Below are 16,894 nucleotides of genomic sequence, written 5' to 3'. Positions count from 1 at the left end.
TCTCCCTGTATATCTTATTACTGACAACTGGATCATACTTCTGGCAAAAAAAAAAAAAAAAAAGAAAAAAAGAAAAAGAAAAAAAAACCCGCACACAGTAATGGTATTTTGTACACAGCCAGGTTTAGACCATTGGCTTTTAAATTCTTCTAATATGCAGTCTAATATGAATGACCTACTGTGTGTCAGCACTGTATGTGAAGGCATATCTGTGTAACTGAAGTAAGTTGCATGAGCTGTGCTTAATGATTATGCATGCTCTATTTTCTTTTCTCTGTTTCATTTGAAAGTTTTGGTTAGGACCTTTTAAGTCTGGATGCCCTGAACCTTTTTTGAAGCATAGATTCTTTAGCAGTCTGAAGCTCGTGGATACCTCAGAATAATATTGTTAAATTCACAAAATTAATACCCATAAGATTCAAAAAAACCAAAGATCTCAAAATGTTGGAAGTCTAGCTCTCAAACTGTGAAAGCTGGTATGTAATCAGTAATATGTTTATTAGCACTGTCAGTAACGATCTAGCAGCTTCTCAAAGTAGTTGAGTGTAAAGGATAGTTTGAGGTATCTGCAGCAATTGTAATGTGATATAATATCAGTGATTTCTTTTGGTACAAACTTAAAGGTACCGCCAATAATGCTGTGGTTTGTTGCCTATTCATATGAGAAAGAAATGTTAAAATTCTTTTTTTTTTGGTGGGGGGAGGACGAAGTCTCGCTGCATTGCCCAGACTGGAGTAGAGTGGCGCGATCTCGGCTCACTGCTACCTCCGCCTCCTGGGTTTAAGTGATTCTGCCTCAGCCTCCCGAGTAGCTGGGACTGTAGGCACGACCACTATGCCCAGCTAATTTTTGTATTTTTAGCAGAGGCGGGGTTTCACTATGTTGGCCAGGCTGGTCTTGAACTCCTGACTTCAAGTGATCCACCTGCCTTGGCCCCCTCAGAGTGCTAGAGTTACAGGCATGAGTCACCATGCCTGGCTTTAATTTCAATTAGAGGTTAGTGAAATTATTTCTTCCAAGTATAAGAATCCTCATTATGAACCAGTGGTCTAAATTGATTTCATGCCTCTAATCTTGAAGTTTGAAAGAAATAACTGGCTTTAGCCCAATCATGACTCATCCCTGAGGGCGAGGGAATAGCCTGCTTCCTGGGAGGTTAAAGGCGGTTGTAGCTGGATTCTTTTAGCAGGGAAGAAAGGTGGGGTAGTTGGAATTTGGGTAGGGAACCCTGTCTGCTACCATCTTCTGTCTGTAGTCTCTACTTCTTCTTATCTTCTTCTCTTCCCACTGCTTAGTTTTCCTCACAGAACTGTCTGGTAATTGCTATTTGTCTGCCGACCCTGGTAGAGTGTATATTCCTTGAGGGAAAAGACTGTCTTATTACCTTCCAGTTCCTAAAAAACTGTTCTGAAGTAGGGTAACAGTAAAAATAAAATTCGGTTCTCATTTTTTTTTTTTTTCAGACAGTCTCATTCTGTCACCCAGGCTGGAGTGCAGTGGTGCAATCTCGGCTCACTGCAACCTCCACCACCCAGGTTCAAGCAGTTCTCCTGCCTCAGCCTCCCAAGTTGCTGGATTTACAAGTGTGCGCCACCACACCTGGCTAATTTTTGTGTTTTTAGTAGAGGAGGGGGGTTTCACCATATTGGCCAGGCTGGTCTTGAGCTCCTGACCTCAGGTGATCCACCCACCTTAGCCTCCCAAAGTGCTGGGATTACAAGCGTAAGCCACCTCGCCTGGCCAAAGTGAGCCACTGCGCCTGGCCAAAGTTTTCCTTATTATGTAATACTTTTGAAGGTAGAAAGCATTTTGTGAACAAAATAGAATTTTTAAAAACAGCTTTATTGAGCCGGGTGTGGTGGCTCATGACTGTAATCCCAGCACTTTGGGAGGGTGAGGCAGGCGGATTACCTGAGGTCAGGAGTTCAAGACCAGCCTGGCCAACATAGTGAAACCCTGTCTCTACTAAAAATACAAAAATTAGCCAGGCGTTGTGGCACATGCCTGTAATCCCAGCTACTAGTGAGGATGAGGCAGGAGAGTTGCTTGAGCCCGGGAGACGGAGGTTGCAGTGAGCCAATATTGCGTCGCTGCACTCCAGCATGGCCGATAGAGCAAGACTCTGTCTCAAAAAAAAAAAAAAATAGCTTTATTGAGATATAATTCACATGCCATACAATTCACCTATTTACAGTAGGCAGTACTTTTTTTTTTTTTTAAAGACAGAGTCTCCCTCTGTTGCCCAGGCTGGAGTGCAGTGGCGCGGTCTCAGCTCACTGCAACCTCTGCCTCCCGGGTTCAAGCGATTCCCCTGCCGCAGCCTCCAGAGCAGCTGGGACTACAGGTATGTGTCACCACGCCCACCTAATTTTTGTATTTTTAGTAGAGACAGGGTTTCACCATGTTGGCCTGGGTGATCTCCAACTCCTGACCTCAAGTGATCCACCCGTGCTGGCCTCCCAATTGCTGGGATTACAGGCGTGAGCTACCGCACCTGGCCAAATTCTATTAACTTTTAGGTTAAATTTTAGAATTAATGTTGTAATGTGCTGTCTTCTTAGTTAAAAATCTTATCAACTGAAAAATATCTTAATCATCTGTAGTATGGGACTGCAAATGGAAACTGTTATTTGGATTTCTCTTTAGGAAGAAATACCCCATTGGCAATTTCAATTTACTATTTCTACTTAAATTATTTGAATTTAAACATCTCGTTAACTAGAAAATACGTTTGTTGGTTATGATAGTGTCACTTCAAGCAGGTTAGATAGGAAACAGTTATTGGAAGATGCCAAATTCATTTCAGAACCAAATTCAAGTATAGTGATGACTCTACTTTTTGCGAAACAATTTACCAGGTTTCTGTTTGTTTTTTAATTCCTAGGTTGTAGAAGTTCAACTAAAGCAAACATGAAATGTGTGATGGACTTTTAAGAGCTTCCTTTGTATAACAGTCTGTACATAGTGTGTTAAGTTCTCAAGAATCTCTCCTTAAAAACTTTGAAGTTATTTTGTGCAACTGTGTTTTGAATAAACCCATGTCAGTTAAAAACAAACCAAACAACAGAACTTCCATAGGCTTTCTTTTTGTATGTAACAACTTGTTTTAAAAGACCTATTAGCGCCTTCTATATATTTGGTATGCAGTTTGTTTGGAAGATTATAGGTGTGAATTGTGTATTTGGGTTGTTTTGTCATTTCAGTTGTTTGCATGTTTTCAGGCTTTCCTTTGAAACCTATCCACAGTTATATATTGCTCATTCATTCATGCCCCTAGACCTTTCTGAAGTTGTCTCTTGCTAGAACTCCCTTTTTGCCTCCCATTCTAGACCATTCCACTTCTCTCTTGGGGAAATACCTTATTTTCATGAGTTCTTATATACCAGCTCTTCCTGGAATGTGTATTGCCACCCCTAGGGCTCGGGTTGCTCTTCTCTAATAGTACTTAGAGTAGTAGTTTGTCGCCTTTTACTCCAGTTACTTGTTTCCATTTTGGTCTTCCGTTGGTCTGAGCTTCCCAGCATTCTTTTAAACCTTGCATGCATCCTACCAAAGATTCCAGTATCACCGCTGGCTATCTGCACACCTCACTTCAAGTTGTCTTTGAAAGAGGGCTTGGGCTAGCTCATGTCTTTCACAGCTGATAGCACAGGGTAGAATCTTGGTCTAGTTTATTCTAGCTCATTCTTGCTGGTTTTCCTGATTTTTTTTCCACCTGAGGAAAACCTTAACTGTTCTAACACTTTGGAGGTGTGGCAGTACCTCCTGTTTCTACTTCTTTTTACAGTTTTAACTATTTTTCTATTCCCTGTGGCTGAAAAAGTGATTGCGTATATAAATTTGGTGGCTAGACCGTGTGCCATGGCTTGTGGCCAAGGTGGGTGGATTGCTTGAGCTCAGGAGTTCGAGACAGGCCTGGAAATCTCATCTGTATTAAAAAAAGAAGAAATTTGATGGCTGTGGTTTTGTTTAGCCCTCTTTTTCTTGCTTTACTGGTTTCTTAATGTTTTTCTCTTTTACTTCAATAAGGAATGGGAAAAGAAAATATACCATTTTATTGTTTCTTGCTGATGACTTTTAGTGTATTCAGCAATACTGAGCACAGTGGCTCATGCTTTGGGAGGCCAAGGTTGGAGGAACGTTTGAAGCCAGGAGTTTAAGACCAGCCTGGGGAACAGTGAGACACCTCCCAACCTCTGTCTCTACAAAAAATAAAAATAAATTAGGTGGATGCGGTGGGGCACACTTATAATTCTAGCTACTGGGGAGGCTGAGGTGGGATGACCACTTGAGCCCAGGAGGTGGAGGTTATAGTGAGCTTTGATTGTGCTACTGCACTCCAGCCTTGGTGGACAGTGGGACCCTGTCTTTAAAAAAAAATTTAAACAAAATGCTATCTGATGCAAATTTTAGAGAAGAATCTTTTTTTTATACTGTGTATTATCACTTAAAAAGTTGATTTTTTTATTACTGTATATAGTATAATACAAATAGAAAGTTTTGATTTGAATTTACCCTTTTAAAGGTCAGTGTATAAGTAAATTGGCCTGAGAGTCAGGCGACTGGAGTTCTAATTCTAATCCTTAGACGCTTGAGCATAGATGAATTTCCTTTGCGTCTTACTTTTTGTGTTAAATGTGAGTAATGGCTTTCTCTTGCTATAATTCTGGGGTTATTAGGGTTAAAGAGAGACACATGTTAGAAGTCTTTGTACATTGTTGTTACTTCGTGCGCTGTGGCTTAATTTTGTCTTTGTTATTGGGGGAAATCTCTGAATGAGTCAAGTTTACACTAATGTCAATTTGGAGGTGTAAAAAATAAAGTGGGACTTAAAAAATATTCAAACATTAATTGAATGCCTGCTTACCTAAGACTATTACTTGACATTGACTTATCAATGTGTGTCTAATGAAATCCTTAAGAATGGAATTAGGCAGCTGGGCCTTAGGGAAACCAGTATTTCCGAAACTATCACCTATTGTCTCTACTGTCTTTGTGTCTGCTGTCTCTCTCTTTCTCTCTAAAGACTGCTTTCTAATTTGACTGTATTAAATACAGCCATTATAATGCCAAACTTAGGTTTTACAATCTAGGTACCCAAAGAGTCTTGGGAGGAGACTCTCATTGGTCCATCATAGGTTGTTTGTTGAGTCTTGAATCCTGGTTAACTTGTGGCAGGTGTTGTGACTATCTGGAAGGGTGTTAGGTATTATGTTGCAGCATTCATAGGAGTCTGTGGGAACATAGGGGGGAGAGAGAGGAGGCAAACATGGTTGTCTAATGTAAGTACCCACTTGCAGAGGCATCTAACGAAATGTCTAAGTTTGCAAAGTGCCATGGGGCTCTTCAGAGTTGTAATTATGCAGAAGTATAGAGAACTTTAAGGCAAGAAGATTTTGTAAAACTTGAATAGATAATTATCTTTATTTATTTAGAGACGGAGTCTCACTCTGTCGCCCAGGCTGGAGTGCAGTGGCACGATCTCAGCTGACTGCAACCTCCGCCTCCTGGTTCAAGCGATTCTCCTGCCTCAGCCTCCGGTGTAACTGGGATTACAGGCGCATGCCACCACACCTGGCTAATTTTTGTATTTTTAGTAGAGACGAGGTTTCACCACATTGGCCAGGCTGGTCTCCAACTCCTGACCTCAAATAATCCTCCCACCTTGGCCTCCCAAAGTGCTGGGATTACAGGCGTGAGCCACTGCACCTGGCCCCTTATTTATTTTTTAGTTGTCTTGTTATATTGGTTGCTGAGAGAAGTGTTTTAAAATCCACTTTGGATTTGGTATTTTTTAGTTTTTTAATATGTAATATTAGGCCTTGTATATAAATGAAGTGTATATAAATTGAGAATTGCAGTGTCACTGGATTAAACCCTTTTTCACTATGGAGGTACTCTTTTTATCTCTGGTAATGCCTTTTAATGCCTTAAAAGACTTCTTAAGAGTAGTTTTAGGCTCACATAGCAAAAATCAGCTGAAGGTACAGAGATTTCCTGTACACTCCTCTACCCCTCAACATGCATAGCCTTTTCCTGTGATCAACATCCCCCACCGAAGTGGTACATTTGTTACAGTCAGTGAACCTACATTGATATGTTATTACCCAGAGTCCCTAGTTTACATTAGGATTTATTCTTTTTGCATCTTCTATCAAATTTGTAATGACATACAGCTACCATTGTAGTATTATAAACTGTAATTTTTACCACCCTAAAAGTTTTTATTACTTTTAAAAACAAGAGTCTTATTGTAAAGTCTTTTTTAGATACACCAGCTTTGCCTAGTGTTTGTATGGTATTTTTCATCTTCTTTCATTCTGTATTCTTGTTTCTTAGATTATCTCTTGTAGTTAGAGTATTTTAAAAGCCTAGTCTGATAATCTTAACTAGAGATGGAGTTTTACTTCATTTTATTTTCTGATTTGTTGCCTTCATAATAGTTTATTATTATTATTTTATTATTTTTGAGACGGAGTCTTGCTCTGTCACCCAGGGTGGAGTGCAGTGGCGCCATCTCAGCTCACTGCAACCTTCACCTCCCAGGTTCAAGCGATTCTCCTGCCTCAGCCTCCTGACCATGCCCAGCTAATTTTTGTATTTTTAGTAGAAACGGGGTTTCACCATGTTGGCCAGGCTGGTCCCGAGCTCCTGACCTCAGGTGATCCACCTGCCTCAGCCTCTCAAAGTGCTGGGATTACAGGTGTGAGCCACCACGCCTGGCTGAGTTTATTATTTTTAATAGAGAGATGATTCTAGTCTCTGCCTGCCTGTTTTACAAAGTAAAACAGTATATTTAACAAGGTCTTTTTGTGGAAAATACAACGACCTTAAAATGATAACTCCATTTACCAAGTTCCTGTTGGCCTTAAGATACTGTCATTTGAATAAATTTTTTTGAATCTTACTCTATAGTATAATATAGAGTTAATATTCATTTACATTTAGCTGTAAAGGTGACAACCTTTACTTTTTCCTGGGCCACTTCTTTTCTGCTGGTGGAAAAACTTTTAATCTGACCAAAACTTCATTCATTGGAGATAATTTCACTTGGTGTAGAATGTTTTATTTTATTATTTTATTATTATTTTTTTAGAGATGGTGTCTCACTCTGTTGCCCAGGCTGGTATGAAGTGGTGCTATCATGGTCACTGTAGTCTCAAAATTCTGGGCTCAAGCGATCCTCCTGCACAGCTCTACATGTGGCTAGTTTATTTTGTTTTTGAATTATGACATGTCTGGGTTTAGATGTCTTTTATTTATCCTGTTTGAGCTCAGTTAGGTCCCTCGCATCTGTGGATTCATATCATTTACTGGTTCTAGAAAATTCTCAGCCACTAAATGTTTAGATATGTCTCTCACATTTCTTCACTCTTCTACTTCTGGAATTTTTATTAAACTTATATATGAATTTCTCACTTTATTCTCTGCATATCTTATTTTTAATCTTTTGTTCTTTCTGTGATATATTTTATATAATTCCTTCTGTCTTCCACTTTGCTGTCTTTGTCTAATAGGCCGCCACACCTATTTTGTTTTTGACTTAGGACATGTCTGGGTTTAGATGTCTTTTATTTATCCTGTTTGAGCTCAGTTAGGTCCCTTGCATCTGTGGATTCATATCATTTACTGGTTCTAGAAAATTCTCAGCCACTAAATGTTTAGATATGTCTCACATTTCTTCACTCTTCTACTTCTGGAATTTTTATTTAAACTTATATATGAATTTCTCACTTTATTCTCTGCATATCTTATTTTTAATCTTTTGTTCTTTCTGTATATATTTTATATAATTCCTTCTGTCTTCCACTTTGCTGTCTTTGTCTAATAGGCAGCCAGACCTGTCTGAGCTTTATTATTTTATTTTTCATGTTAGAAATTCTGTTTGGTTGTTTTCCAAATCTATGTAACATTTAATAGTTTTTCTGTTTCATTTATCTTTCTCATGTTTGTCCTTTATGCATCTACACATTGTGAGCATTTTAAGATCTGATAATTCTCCTATCTGAAATGTTTTGTGTCTTTTTGCAGGTTTTTATTCATGATGCCTTGTTTACTTGAGTGTTATGTATATTCTGTTCATTGTCCTTAGATTATGTGTAGCATTTTCCGAGGCCTAAAGGTGCCTTTCTCTAAAGGTTTACTTTGCTCTTGTCAAGTATTTAGATGCACTAAGAGCTTGCTACCCAAAGTATGGTTCTCAGACTGGCAGAGAAGTTTTTTTAGGAAACATGGCACCTCAAGTTCTATCCCTGTATTTTAACAAGAATGTGAATTTTAACAAGATCCATAGGTAATTCTTAGGCACGTTAAATACTGAGCATCGCTGCGTTAAGTGATCAGTAGGATTTGAAGTTCCTTGGCTTAAAGTTTCTTGGATCATTCACCTGATTTGAAATATGCCTACAAATCTTGGCCACACATGTATAAATTCTCAGGTATAGATTTTCTTTTCCCCTTCCTTCTCTTCTCTCCTGCTGTCTCCCCTGTCTTGCTTGCTTTTTTTAGCAACAAGGCAACTTTCCCAGCAGTCGGTTTGGGATGGGGTTCAGGAATATTTCTGGTCATCTTCATCATGAAAGTGTATCCCATAGTTTTTTTTCCCTTATTTCATGAGTTGAGAGTTGATAAAGGCCTTTAAAAACAATATTAAATTGTGTAATCCTTACACAGGGGCCATGCTATTCTTCTCCGTATAGTTCCACTTTTAGTGTATGTGCTGCCAAAGTGATCACGATAAAGACTTTTTTTAAAAAGCTTGAAATGATATTAGATTCTTGAGTATTTTGGGTTTGGAAAGTCGGCGGGGGGTGCAGTTAGCTTCAAACACAAATAATCAGCATCATTAGTTATTAGGGAAATACGTATTAGAACAATAATAAGATACTACTACACACCCAGCAGAATAACGAAAACTTTTTTTTTTGAGCCAGAGTCTCACTCTGTCACCCAGGCTGGAGTGCAGTGGTGCCATCTCAGCTCGCTGCAGCCTCCATCCCTCAGGTTCAAGTGCTTCTCTTGCCTCAGCCTCCCGAGTAGCTGGGATTATGGTTATGCAGCACCAATCTGGCCACTTTTTGTATTTTTAGCAGAGATGGCCAATACTTTGAGAGGCTGAGGTGGGCGGATTGCTTGAGTCCAGGAGTTTGGGACCAGCCCGGGTAACATAGCAACATCCTGTCTCTACTCACCTCCATCTCCCCACAAGGAAAGCCAGGCATGGCGGCACACACCTATACTCACAGCTACTCAGGAGGGTGATCTAGTGATTCTACTCTTAGTTAATTCTGCTCAAAAGAGATGAAAGCATGTATCCATGGAAAGACTTGTAGAAAAATCTAGCAGCTTTAAACTTAACGGGCAAAACTTAGTCCATCAACAGAAAAATGGGTAATCAAAATGTTCATATTCATACAGTAGAATATTCAGCAATAAGAAAGTAAAAATATTGATAAAACTCAGCAACATAGATGAATCTCAGGATATTATTATGCTGAGTCAAAGAAGCCTTACACAAAGGAGTACATACTATGTTTCCACTTACATAAAATTCTAGAATAGGCAAGACAATGGTAAAAAAAAAAAAATTAGAACAGTAGTTGCAGAGTTGGGAGGTGAAGTGCAGGGACTGATTGGGGAGGAGCGTGAGGAAAGTTTCTTGGGTGATAGACTGTATATCCTGGTAAGGATTTGGGTTACATAGGTGTGTGTGTTTGTCACAACTCATTGAATTTTACACTTAACACTTGGGCATTTCGTTGTTGAAAATTTAACTGAAAACATGAAGCAAAATTTGGAAACTGTTTTATGATACATAAAGTATAATGGTGCCTGCAACTTACTTTGAAATACATCAAAAAATAGGATGGATAGTTGGCAGACACAGGGGTACGTAAATGAGGATATGGATACATATGTAATAAAACATATGTAAAACTTTTCATTGTAGAAGCTAGATGGGACTTACAGGTATTGAGCAATTCTCAACTTTTTTGTATTTTGAGAAATTTTATAATCTGCATGCAGGGGAAAGGTAGTGAGAAGTAAAAGAAGAATCAAAATGGAAAGTTCAGGAAGATAATTCAATTTGTGTAACTAGCCTGTTTTACAAATGTTGTTCAGTTTATGTTTATGCCCATTTGAAGATGAGTGGTAGCTGTAGTCTTACTGATTTGAATGTGAATATGGCTTTTTATTTTTTATTTTTATTTTTTCGAGGCAGGGTCTCACTCTGTCACCCAGGCTGGAGTGCAGTGGTGCAATCTCAGCCCACTGCAGTCTCCATCTCCTGGGCTCAAGCAATCCTCCCACCTCAGCCCCGAAAGTCGCTGGGACTAGAGATGCGCACTACCATGCCCGGCTAATTTTTGTATTTTTTGTGGAGAAGGGGTTTCGCCATGCTGCCCAGGCTGGTCTCAAACTCCGCTCAAGCAGTTTGCCCACTTTGGCCTCCCAAAGTGCTGGGATTACAAGTGTGAGCCACCGTGCCTGACCTAATTTTTTTTGTATTTTGTCACATTATTCTCAAATGGGTGACAATGTCTTTACCTCTGAAAGGCATAATGATTTCTTTGACAGATGAGAAAACTCAGGCTTAGTTATGAAATTTTTCCAAGATAACATGACTTAAAATGGTAGAGCCAGGGTTTGAACAGACTCAAGACATAGGTACTTTTTACTACTTCTCTCTCTGCTCCACTGTTGACATTTAGGTGTATTTTTGCAGACTTTTTTCCTACACATATATAAACAAATACATACCTTTCCTTCCCCCTGCTTCTTTCTTATGCTTTGAGTCTCAGCTTAAAATGTCTCTTCAGAGAGCTGTTACCTGATGATTCAACCCAAAGTAGCTTTTTCCTTCCTCCTTCCCATTATCCTCTACTCCTTCCTATTTTTCTCCTATTTCACTTTTCATGGGACTTACCACAATGTGCATATAGTTTGTTTATTTTCTCTTTCCAATTGAGGTGAGCTCCATTGTAGCAAACAGTATTGACACCTGTCAAATAGGCCTTCAAATATTTGCTGAAGGAATGAATTAACAATGTTCTGTCTATGAATGTCAGTGCAGTATATACAGATTTACCCCTTTGCTTTTGAGGACCTCTAAATATGCCATAGTATTGATACAGTATACTTATTAACTGTTCCTTTGCTGAGAACATTCGGATCATCTCCATTTTTCCACAGTGACATACTGCAGTGACCATCGTGATTACATCCTTGCTTACTTGTGCAAGTATTTCTTTAGGTTAGATTCCTAGAAGTTTCTAAGGATATCAGTGGCAGTTTTTAATTGTGGGAGTTGGGAGAGTCATGTAAAAATTACAAAGGAATAGAAGATGATACGTAATGATACCAAAACAATAGCGTAAATCTGTGTCACAGTTGTCAAACCTAGCTGATACTAGAAAAATAGTTATTTTGCTTTTTTTCCTTTTTAATTTCTTTTGGTGTTTTTGTTTTGTTTTGTTTTGACGCAGGGTCTCCCTCTGTCACCCAGGTTGGAGCACAGTGGCACAATCATGGCTTGCTGCAGCCTTGACTTCCTGGGCTCAAGCAGTCCTCCCACCTCACCACCTTAGCCTCCGGAGTAGCTGGGCCTAGATGTGCATGTCACCACACCCGGCTATTTTAATTTTATTTTTTATTTTTGAGACAGTTTCGCTCTGTCGCCCAGGTTAGAGTACAGTGGCATGATCTCAGCTTACTGCAGACTTCACTTCCCAGGCTCAAGCAGTCCTCCCACCTCAGCTTGCTGAGTAGCTGGGGCCACAGATGTGCACCACCACCACGCCAGGCTAAATTTTTTTTTTTTTGGTAGAGAGGGGGTTTCACCATGTTGCCTAGGCTGGTCTCAAACTCCTGAGATCAAGTGATCCTACCGCTTCAGCCTCCAAAAGTGCTGGCATTACAGGTGTCAGCCACTGCGCCCAGCCCCAGCTAATTTTTAAATATTTTGTAGAGATGGGGTCTCCTTATATTGCCCAGACTGGTCTTGAACTCCTGGGCTCAAGCCACCTTCTTGTGCCTTGGCCTCCCATAGTGCTGGGATTATAGGCATGAGACATTGCACCCAGCCTATTATTCTAAGAATGGTTTGATTTTCCCATACCCCCATTCTGATAGGGTCCAGGAATCTGTATTACAGAAATTTACGTTTGGGAAATACAGCTCTGAATTTTCTCTTGGCTCCTGGTTTGTACGTATTCTGGCTCAATATAGAGGCAGTCTTTGGCATCTACTTATTTTTGGTAAAAATGCTAAATGTAGAAATGTGGGGCATTAGTCTATAGAGTATGGCATTTAAAATTTTTTTTTAACTTTTGAAAAATATTCGAGACATTCTAAATGAATTTAGGTATAATTACTCTGAAATGCATGATCTTAAACAAAAATTTGACACTATTATTCACCAGGTGTTAAAGTTACAGTCTGTATTTTCTCCCCGACTTTGAGTTACATTTTAATGCTTCCTTTCCCCCACCTTAACTATAATCTTAATAATTTTTGTTTCTGACAGTTCCCCAGGTTGTAGCTCTATTGATGACAGGCTACATACTTGTTTGGAAAAGATTATAACACAAATCCATGGTTATCACAACGTTAAAATATTTTTTATTGTAAGTCAGGAATAGACGTCCTAATCTGAACTATGTTAAAGAGTTAACCTCTGTAGGCTGGGTGTGGTGGCTCACACCTGTAATCCCAGCACCTTGGGAGGCCGAGGCAGGTGGATGGAGGCCGAGGCAGGCGGATCACCTGAGGTCAGGAGTTCCAGACCAGCCTGGCCAACATGGTGAAGCCCCATCTCTACTAAAAATACAAAAATTAGCTGGGTGTGGTGGTGCGTGCCTGTAGTCCCAGCTGCTGAGGAGGCTGAGGCAGGAGAATTGCTTGAACCTGGGAGGCGGAGGTTGCAGTGAGCCTAGACTGCGCCATTGCACTCCAGCCTGGGCGACAGAACAAGACTCCATCTCAAAAAAAAAAAAAAAAAGAGTTAACCTCTGTGATGTCATTATTATGGTGGAGTTCACAATAGTGACAAGAATATATATTGAAGAGAATATTTTTGAAAATATTGCCTTATTATGTGTGTCTGAATGCTGGAAAGGTCATTTACCAAATATAAAATTGTTTTTGTCCATAGGGAGCACTTTGCTGTAATCTACAGGGTACCTTGTACTGTGAATAACTTTTATTCTTAGCCAGGAGGTTTCTGTCTGTCGCTTAAGGGAGAGAAGCATTTACAAATCATTCTTTCTCTGCTCCCTCAGCAGCTCCTCATTTTTCATAATCACCTAATGAGTCCCTAATAAATGGTATTATTATATCTTTATAAGGAAGAACTTTTAAAGTACCCCATTGAAGAAAAACTGAAATAAACATTAGGTTGGAGTCTTAAAAAATTTGGAACTGAATCCGATTTTAGAGACTATCTAGTCTGATACCCTTAAGAGGAAGTAACTAGAAAGACTATTGATAAGCTGACCTCCTATCCCCATTCACTGGCTAATGATGGTAGCCAACAGGATTGTAGACCTGTTAAAATTGGGTCTGTGCACCATTTTTGGCATGTGGACTAAAAGTTGCTGTCTGTGTGCTTTTGAGACCTGAAGAATATCCTCTGTTACATGAATGCAGTTAGTATTCTAATGGATTATACAAGCCATCTGAGCTAAGACAGGATTTATATTAGGGAATGAGTGGCTCTGTATTTTAGAAATAGCTTAGCAATAGCTATTCAGGATAATTGATCATCTTACAGTGTTCTACAAAATAGATTTTTGGTCTATTTTGGACCTCCTTGTGAAGGGTTACCTCCTTTCTTCTTTGCTTTTCTCACACCTGTTAATCACAGATTCAACAAGTTAGGCACGTACTTCCTTACTTGGAGTTGTCATCTTCTCATGCCTCAGAGATTGATATGCTCTTCTGATCCAAAGCTTATGCTCTTAATTTTTTTCCCCCTGCGGGATCCTGTTAGTAGACTGTCCTTTATTCCCAACCTTTTCTTTCAGTAATTCTTTTCTTTACCTAAATACATATGCTCAAAATTTATTTTTTTAAAAACGACAAACAGGGAAATTACATATATCCATGCAAACACAGCCTTTGTCTCTCTGCCTTCCCTTCTCTCCTGGCTATTGTCTCTTCTCTTTATAAAGTCTAGCACTTCCAGAAGAGAGTTGGTATTTATTATCTTACCTTATACCCTCTCCTTCCCCACCATTTCTAGAAATAGCTCTCAACATTTTCTTTTGTTTTTTTTTTGGAGGCAAAGTCTCGCTCTGTCCCCCAGGCTGGAGAGCAGTGGCGCAATCTTGGCTCGCTGCAACCTCCGCATCCTGGGCTCAAGCAGTCCTTCCACCTCAGCCTCCTGAGCAGCTGGGACTACAGGCGCGCTACCACGCCCTCGCTAATTTTTGTATTTTGTGTAGAGATGGGGTTTTGCCATGTTGCCCAGGCTGCTCTCGCCATTTTCTAAATCTGATGGACATTTTTGAGTTTTTTGAACTCTGCCTATCTGTCTTCCTCTTGGTGTCTGCCAACACCACTATCCTGATTTATTTTCCCAGTGCTTGTGGTAAGTTCTTGATTTTCCTTGACTGGATTCTTTTTTTTTATGTTTTCCTTAGATTTTAGCATTTCCCAATATTTCATCCTGGGCGTATTCCTCTCTTTATGCTGTCTGTTTTTCATAGAGAAAATAGAATCTTATTGATTACCTTGGTTTCTCTTACCTCCTGCATGTCAGTGTAATTTCTCCCATCTGTATATCCAGTTGCCTACATAATTCTCAATCTTTACTTCCATTTGCTTATTGAAACTCTACCTGGATACCTACATGATGAGTCAGGTTTTATATGATTAACACTAAATGTACTCTTTCTGCTCATGTGTATCATTTGATAATGCTGCTACAATCATTTTGTATAATTTTCTAAAGTTAAAAGCATGACTTTTAGAACTATAGAATGTAAATAGCAAAGATACTGTTTGACTAGTTAATAAGGACAGGAAGCTGTTGTAGTAAAGCTAGTTTAAAGAGCATTTGGGGAACTGGGTATTTATAGGCAATTTAATAAAGAATTTTAGAATGAGATTACTGATAACCTACAGGCAACAAACTGCAATCTTTGGGGTTGTCTTTTCTTCTGTACATAAACTGTATTTCTCCAGACTTAAATCTACAGGTTAACATGTAACTTTAATGTCTGAACCCCTGATTAATAGTAAATATAATAGCAAAATTAAAATATGATGCTCTTGCAGAAAATTAAATAATTCCTAGGTAAGCCTCTGATGTAGCATTTCCTAGGACATTGAAAGGATGTGCAGTCATCTTCTTTATATGTTTTAGATAACTTTTCTTAACCTTTGTCACCAGTGTAAGAAATTTGAGTCATTTTAGGGTTTATATTTGTCTGAAGTCTGAGAACCACAGTCTTAGACTATTCTTTCTCACTGTGTAGATCCTGTCATCAAAATGTTTCTTGACCCCGTCTTCATTTTGCCTTCTTCCATTGTTAACAGATCCTCATCTACCCTTAGATCTGTTTGGTAGCTTTCTACTTGATCTGCCTCCTTATCTGTAGGTCTTAAATGTAAAACTTTTTGTTTCTGGCCCTTCATGATAGAGTTTAGGCTTATTTTCAGGCTCAAGGAACCACTCCACATCCCTGCATTATAATTTATTCTCTCATTCCTCCATGTCTTTCCTCACTGCTCTAGCATTTCAAGGAACATCAGCAGAAGTGACTGGTCATCCTCAACCTGTGAAGGCAAAGTTAGCCACCTTTTTCTTCTTTGTTTAGAGTAGTACATTTGATCTTGCTTCTCAAATCAATTTAGCATATTTTATAATTATTCACTTAATGATTGGCCAGCTAAGCTGATTTACCAAATGGCAAAGGATCAGAATTTTCTTTCTATCCCCCATAATCCTTTAAGCTTGGGATGTCATGGCTTTCTAGTATTTTGATTTTTTTTAAGGTAAATACATAATTATTTTTCCTTGTTTGCTCAGTCAAACTTGTATTTGAGTGCTGAGCCCGTCCCCTATTAGCTTTGTAGCCTTAGGGTTATTTTAACTTACTGTGTGTCATGATTTCTTTTTAAGAAGGTTATTTGCACTACCAGTTTTGTAAAGTTGGTGTGAAAATTAAATGATTTAAAGCACATTGCCTGGTACATGCTAAGCACAGAATACACGTAACCCATACTTTACTGTTCAACTTAAATCTTGTATTTTTTCCATTAAATATTGTTTTCTAGTGTTATAAAAATACAATTTGAAAATACTAGTTTGGCCGGGCACAGTGGCTCATGCCTGTAATCCCAGCACTTTGGGAGGCCAAGGAGGGTGGATCACTTGAGGTCAAGAGTTTGAGAACAGCCTGGACAATGTGGTGAAACCCTGTCTGTACTAAAAATACAAAAATTAGCCATGCATGGTGTTGCACGACTGTAGTCCCAGCTACCCGGGAGGCTGAGGTGAGGCAGAAGAATCGCTTGAACCTGGGAGGTGGAGGTTGCAGTGAACCGAGATCGCGCCATTGCACTCCAGCCTGGGTGTCCAGTGAGATCCCGTCTCAAAAAAAAAAAAAATGCTATTTTTACATGTTGTATAATATCCCGTTATCACATTCAAATGGTTTTGATGCCCATAAATTGCATTCAGTGCCTAACAGACCCTAACGTAGCCCTTTCTCTTGCACTCAATGGCCCTTACTCTCCTAATTTCTCTATAGAACTTTTCTGATTAACTGGAAAAAAAGGCAGTAAATTTCTGTTGCCCTTAATTCAAACGTGAACTAATAAACTGCATTGTGCTGTTCTATATCAGATACAGCTATTTCAGGTTTGACATATGGCTACTTAAGAGTT

The 16,894-nt window shown here is 39.2% G+C and overlaps 1 protein-coding gene and 1 pseudogene across 61 annotated transcripts in view, besides 2 other annotated features; one reads left to right on the top strand and one right to left on the bottom strand.

Moving 5' to 3' along the window:
- TRIP12 (thyroid hormone receptor interactor 12) overlaps nucleotides 1–16,894 on the top strand; it is a 159,350-nt gene that overhangs the window by 20,105 nt on the left and 122,351 nt on the right. The gene's annotated exons all lie outside the window — the stretch shown is intronic.
- Nucleotides 1,242–1,442: a silencer, noted in NCBI's record as "peak4074 fragment used in MPRA reporter construct". NCBI's record gives its function as "represses an SCP1 promoter by STARR-seq MPRAs in K562 erythroleukemia cells {active_cell/tissue: K562}" and the evidence as "EXISTENCE:reporter gene assay evidence [ECO:0000049][PMID:32103011]".
- Nucleotides 2,234–2,735: an enhancer, noted in NCBI's record as "H3K4me1 hESC enhancer chr2:230765063-230765564 (GRCh37/hg19 assembly coordinates)". NCBI's record gives its function as "activates a minimal SCP1, AML or CMV promoter by ChIP-STARR-seq in primed H9 embryonic stem cells {active_cell/tissue: H9 hESC(primed)}" and the evidence as "EXISTENCE:reporter gene assay evidence [ECO:0000049][PMID:30033119]".
- Nucleotides 8,629–8,736, bottom strand: RNU6-613P (RNA, U6 small nuclear 613, pseudogene; annotated as a pseudogene).

This window comes from Homo sapiens, chromosome 2 (assembly GCF_000001405.40).
Source record: "Homo sapiens chromosome 2, GRCh38.p14 Primary Assembly".
In the NCBI taxonomy this organism is placed as follows: domain Eukaryota; kingdom Metazoa; phylum Chordata; class Mammalia; order Primates; family Hominidae; genus Homo; species Homo sapiens.
Note: the sequence above shows the minus strand (reverse complement) of the source record. Positions and strands in the feature narration are given on the sequence as shown.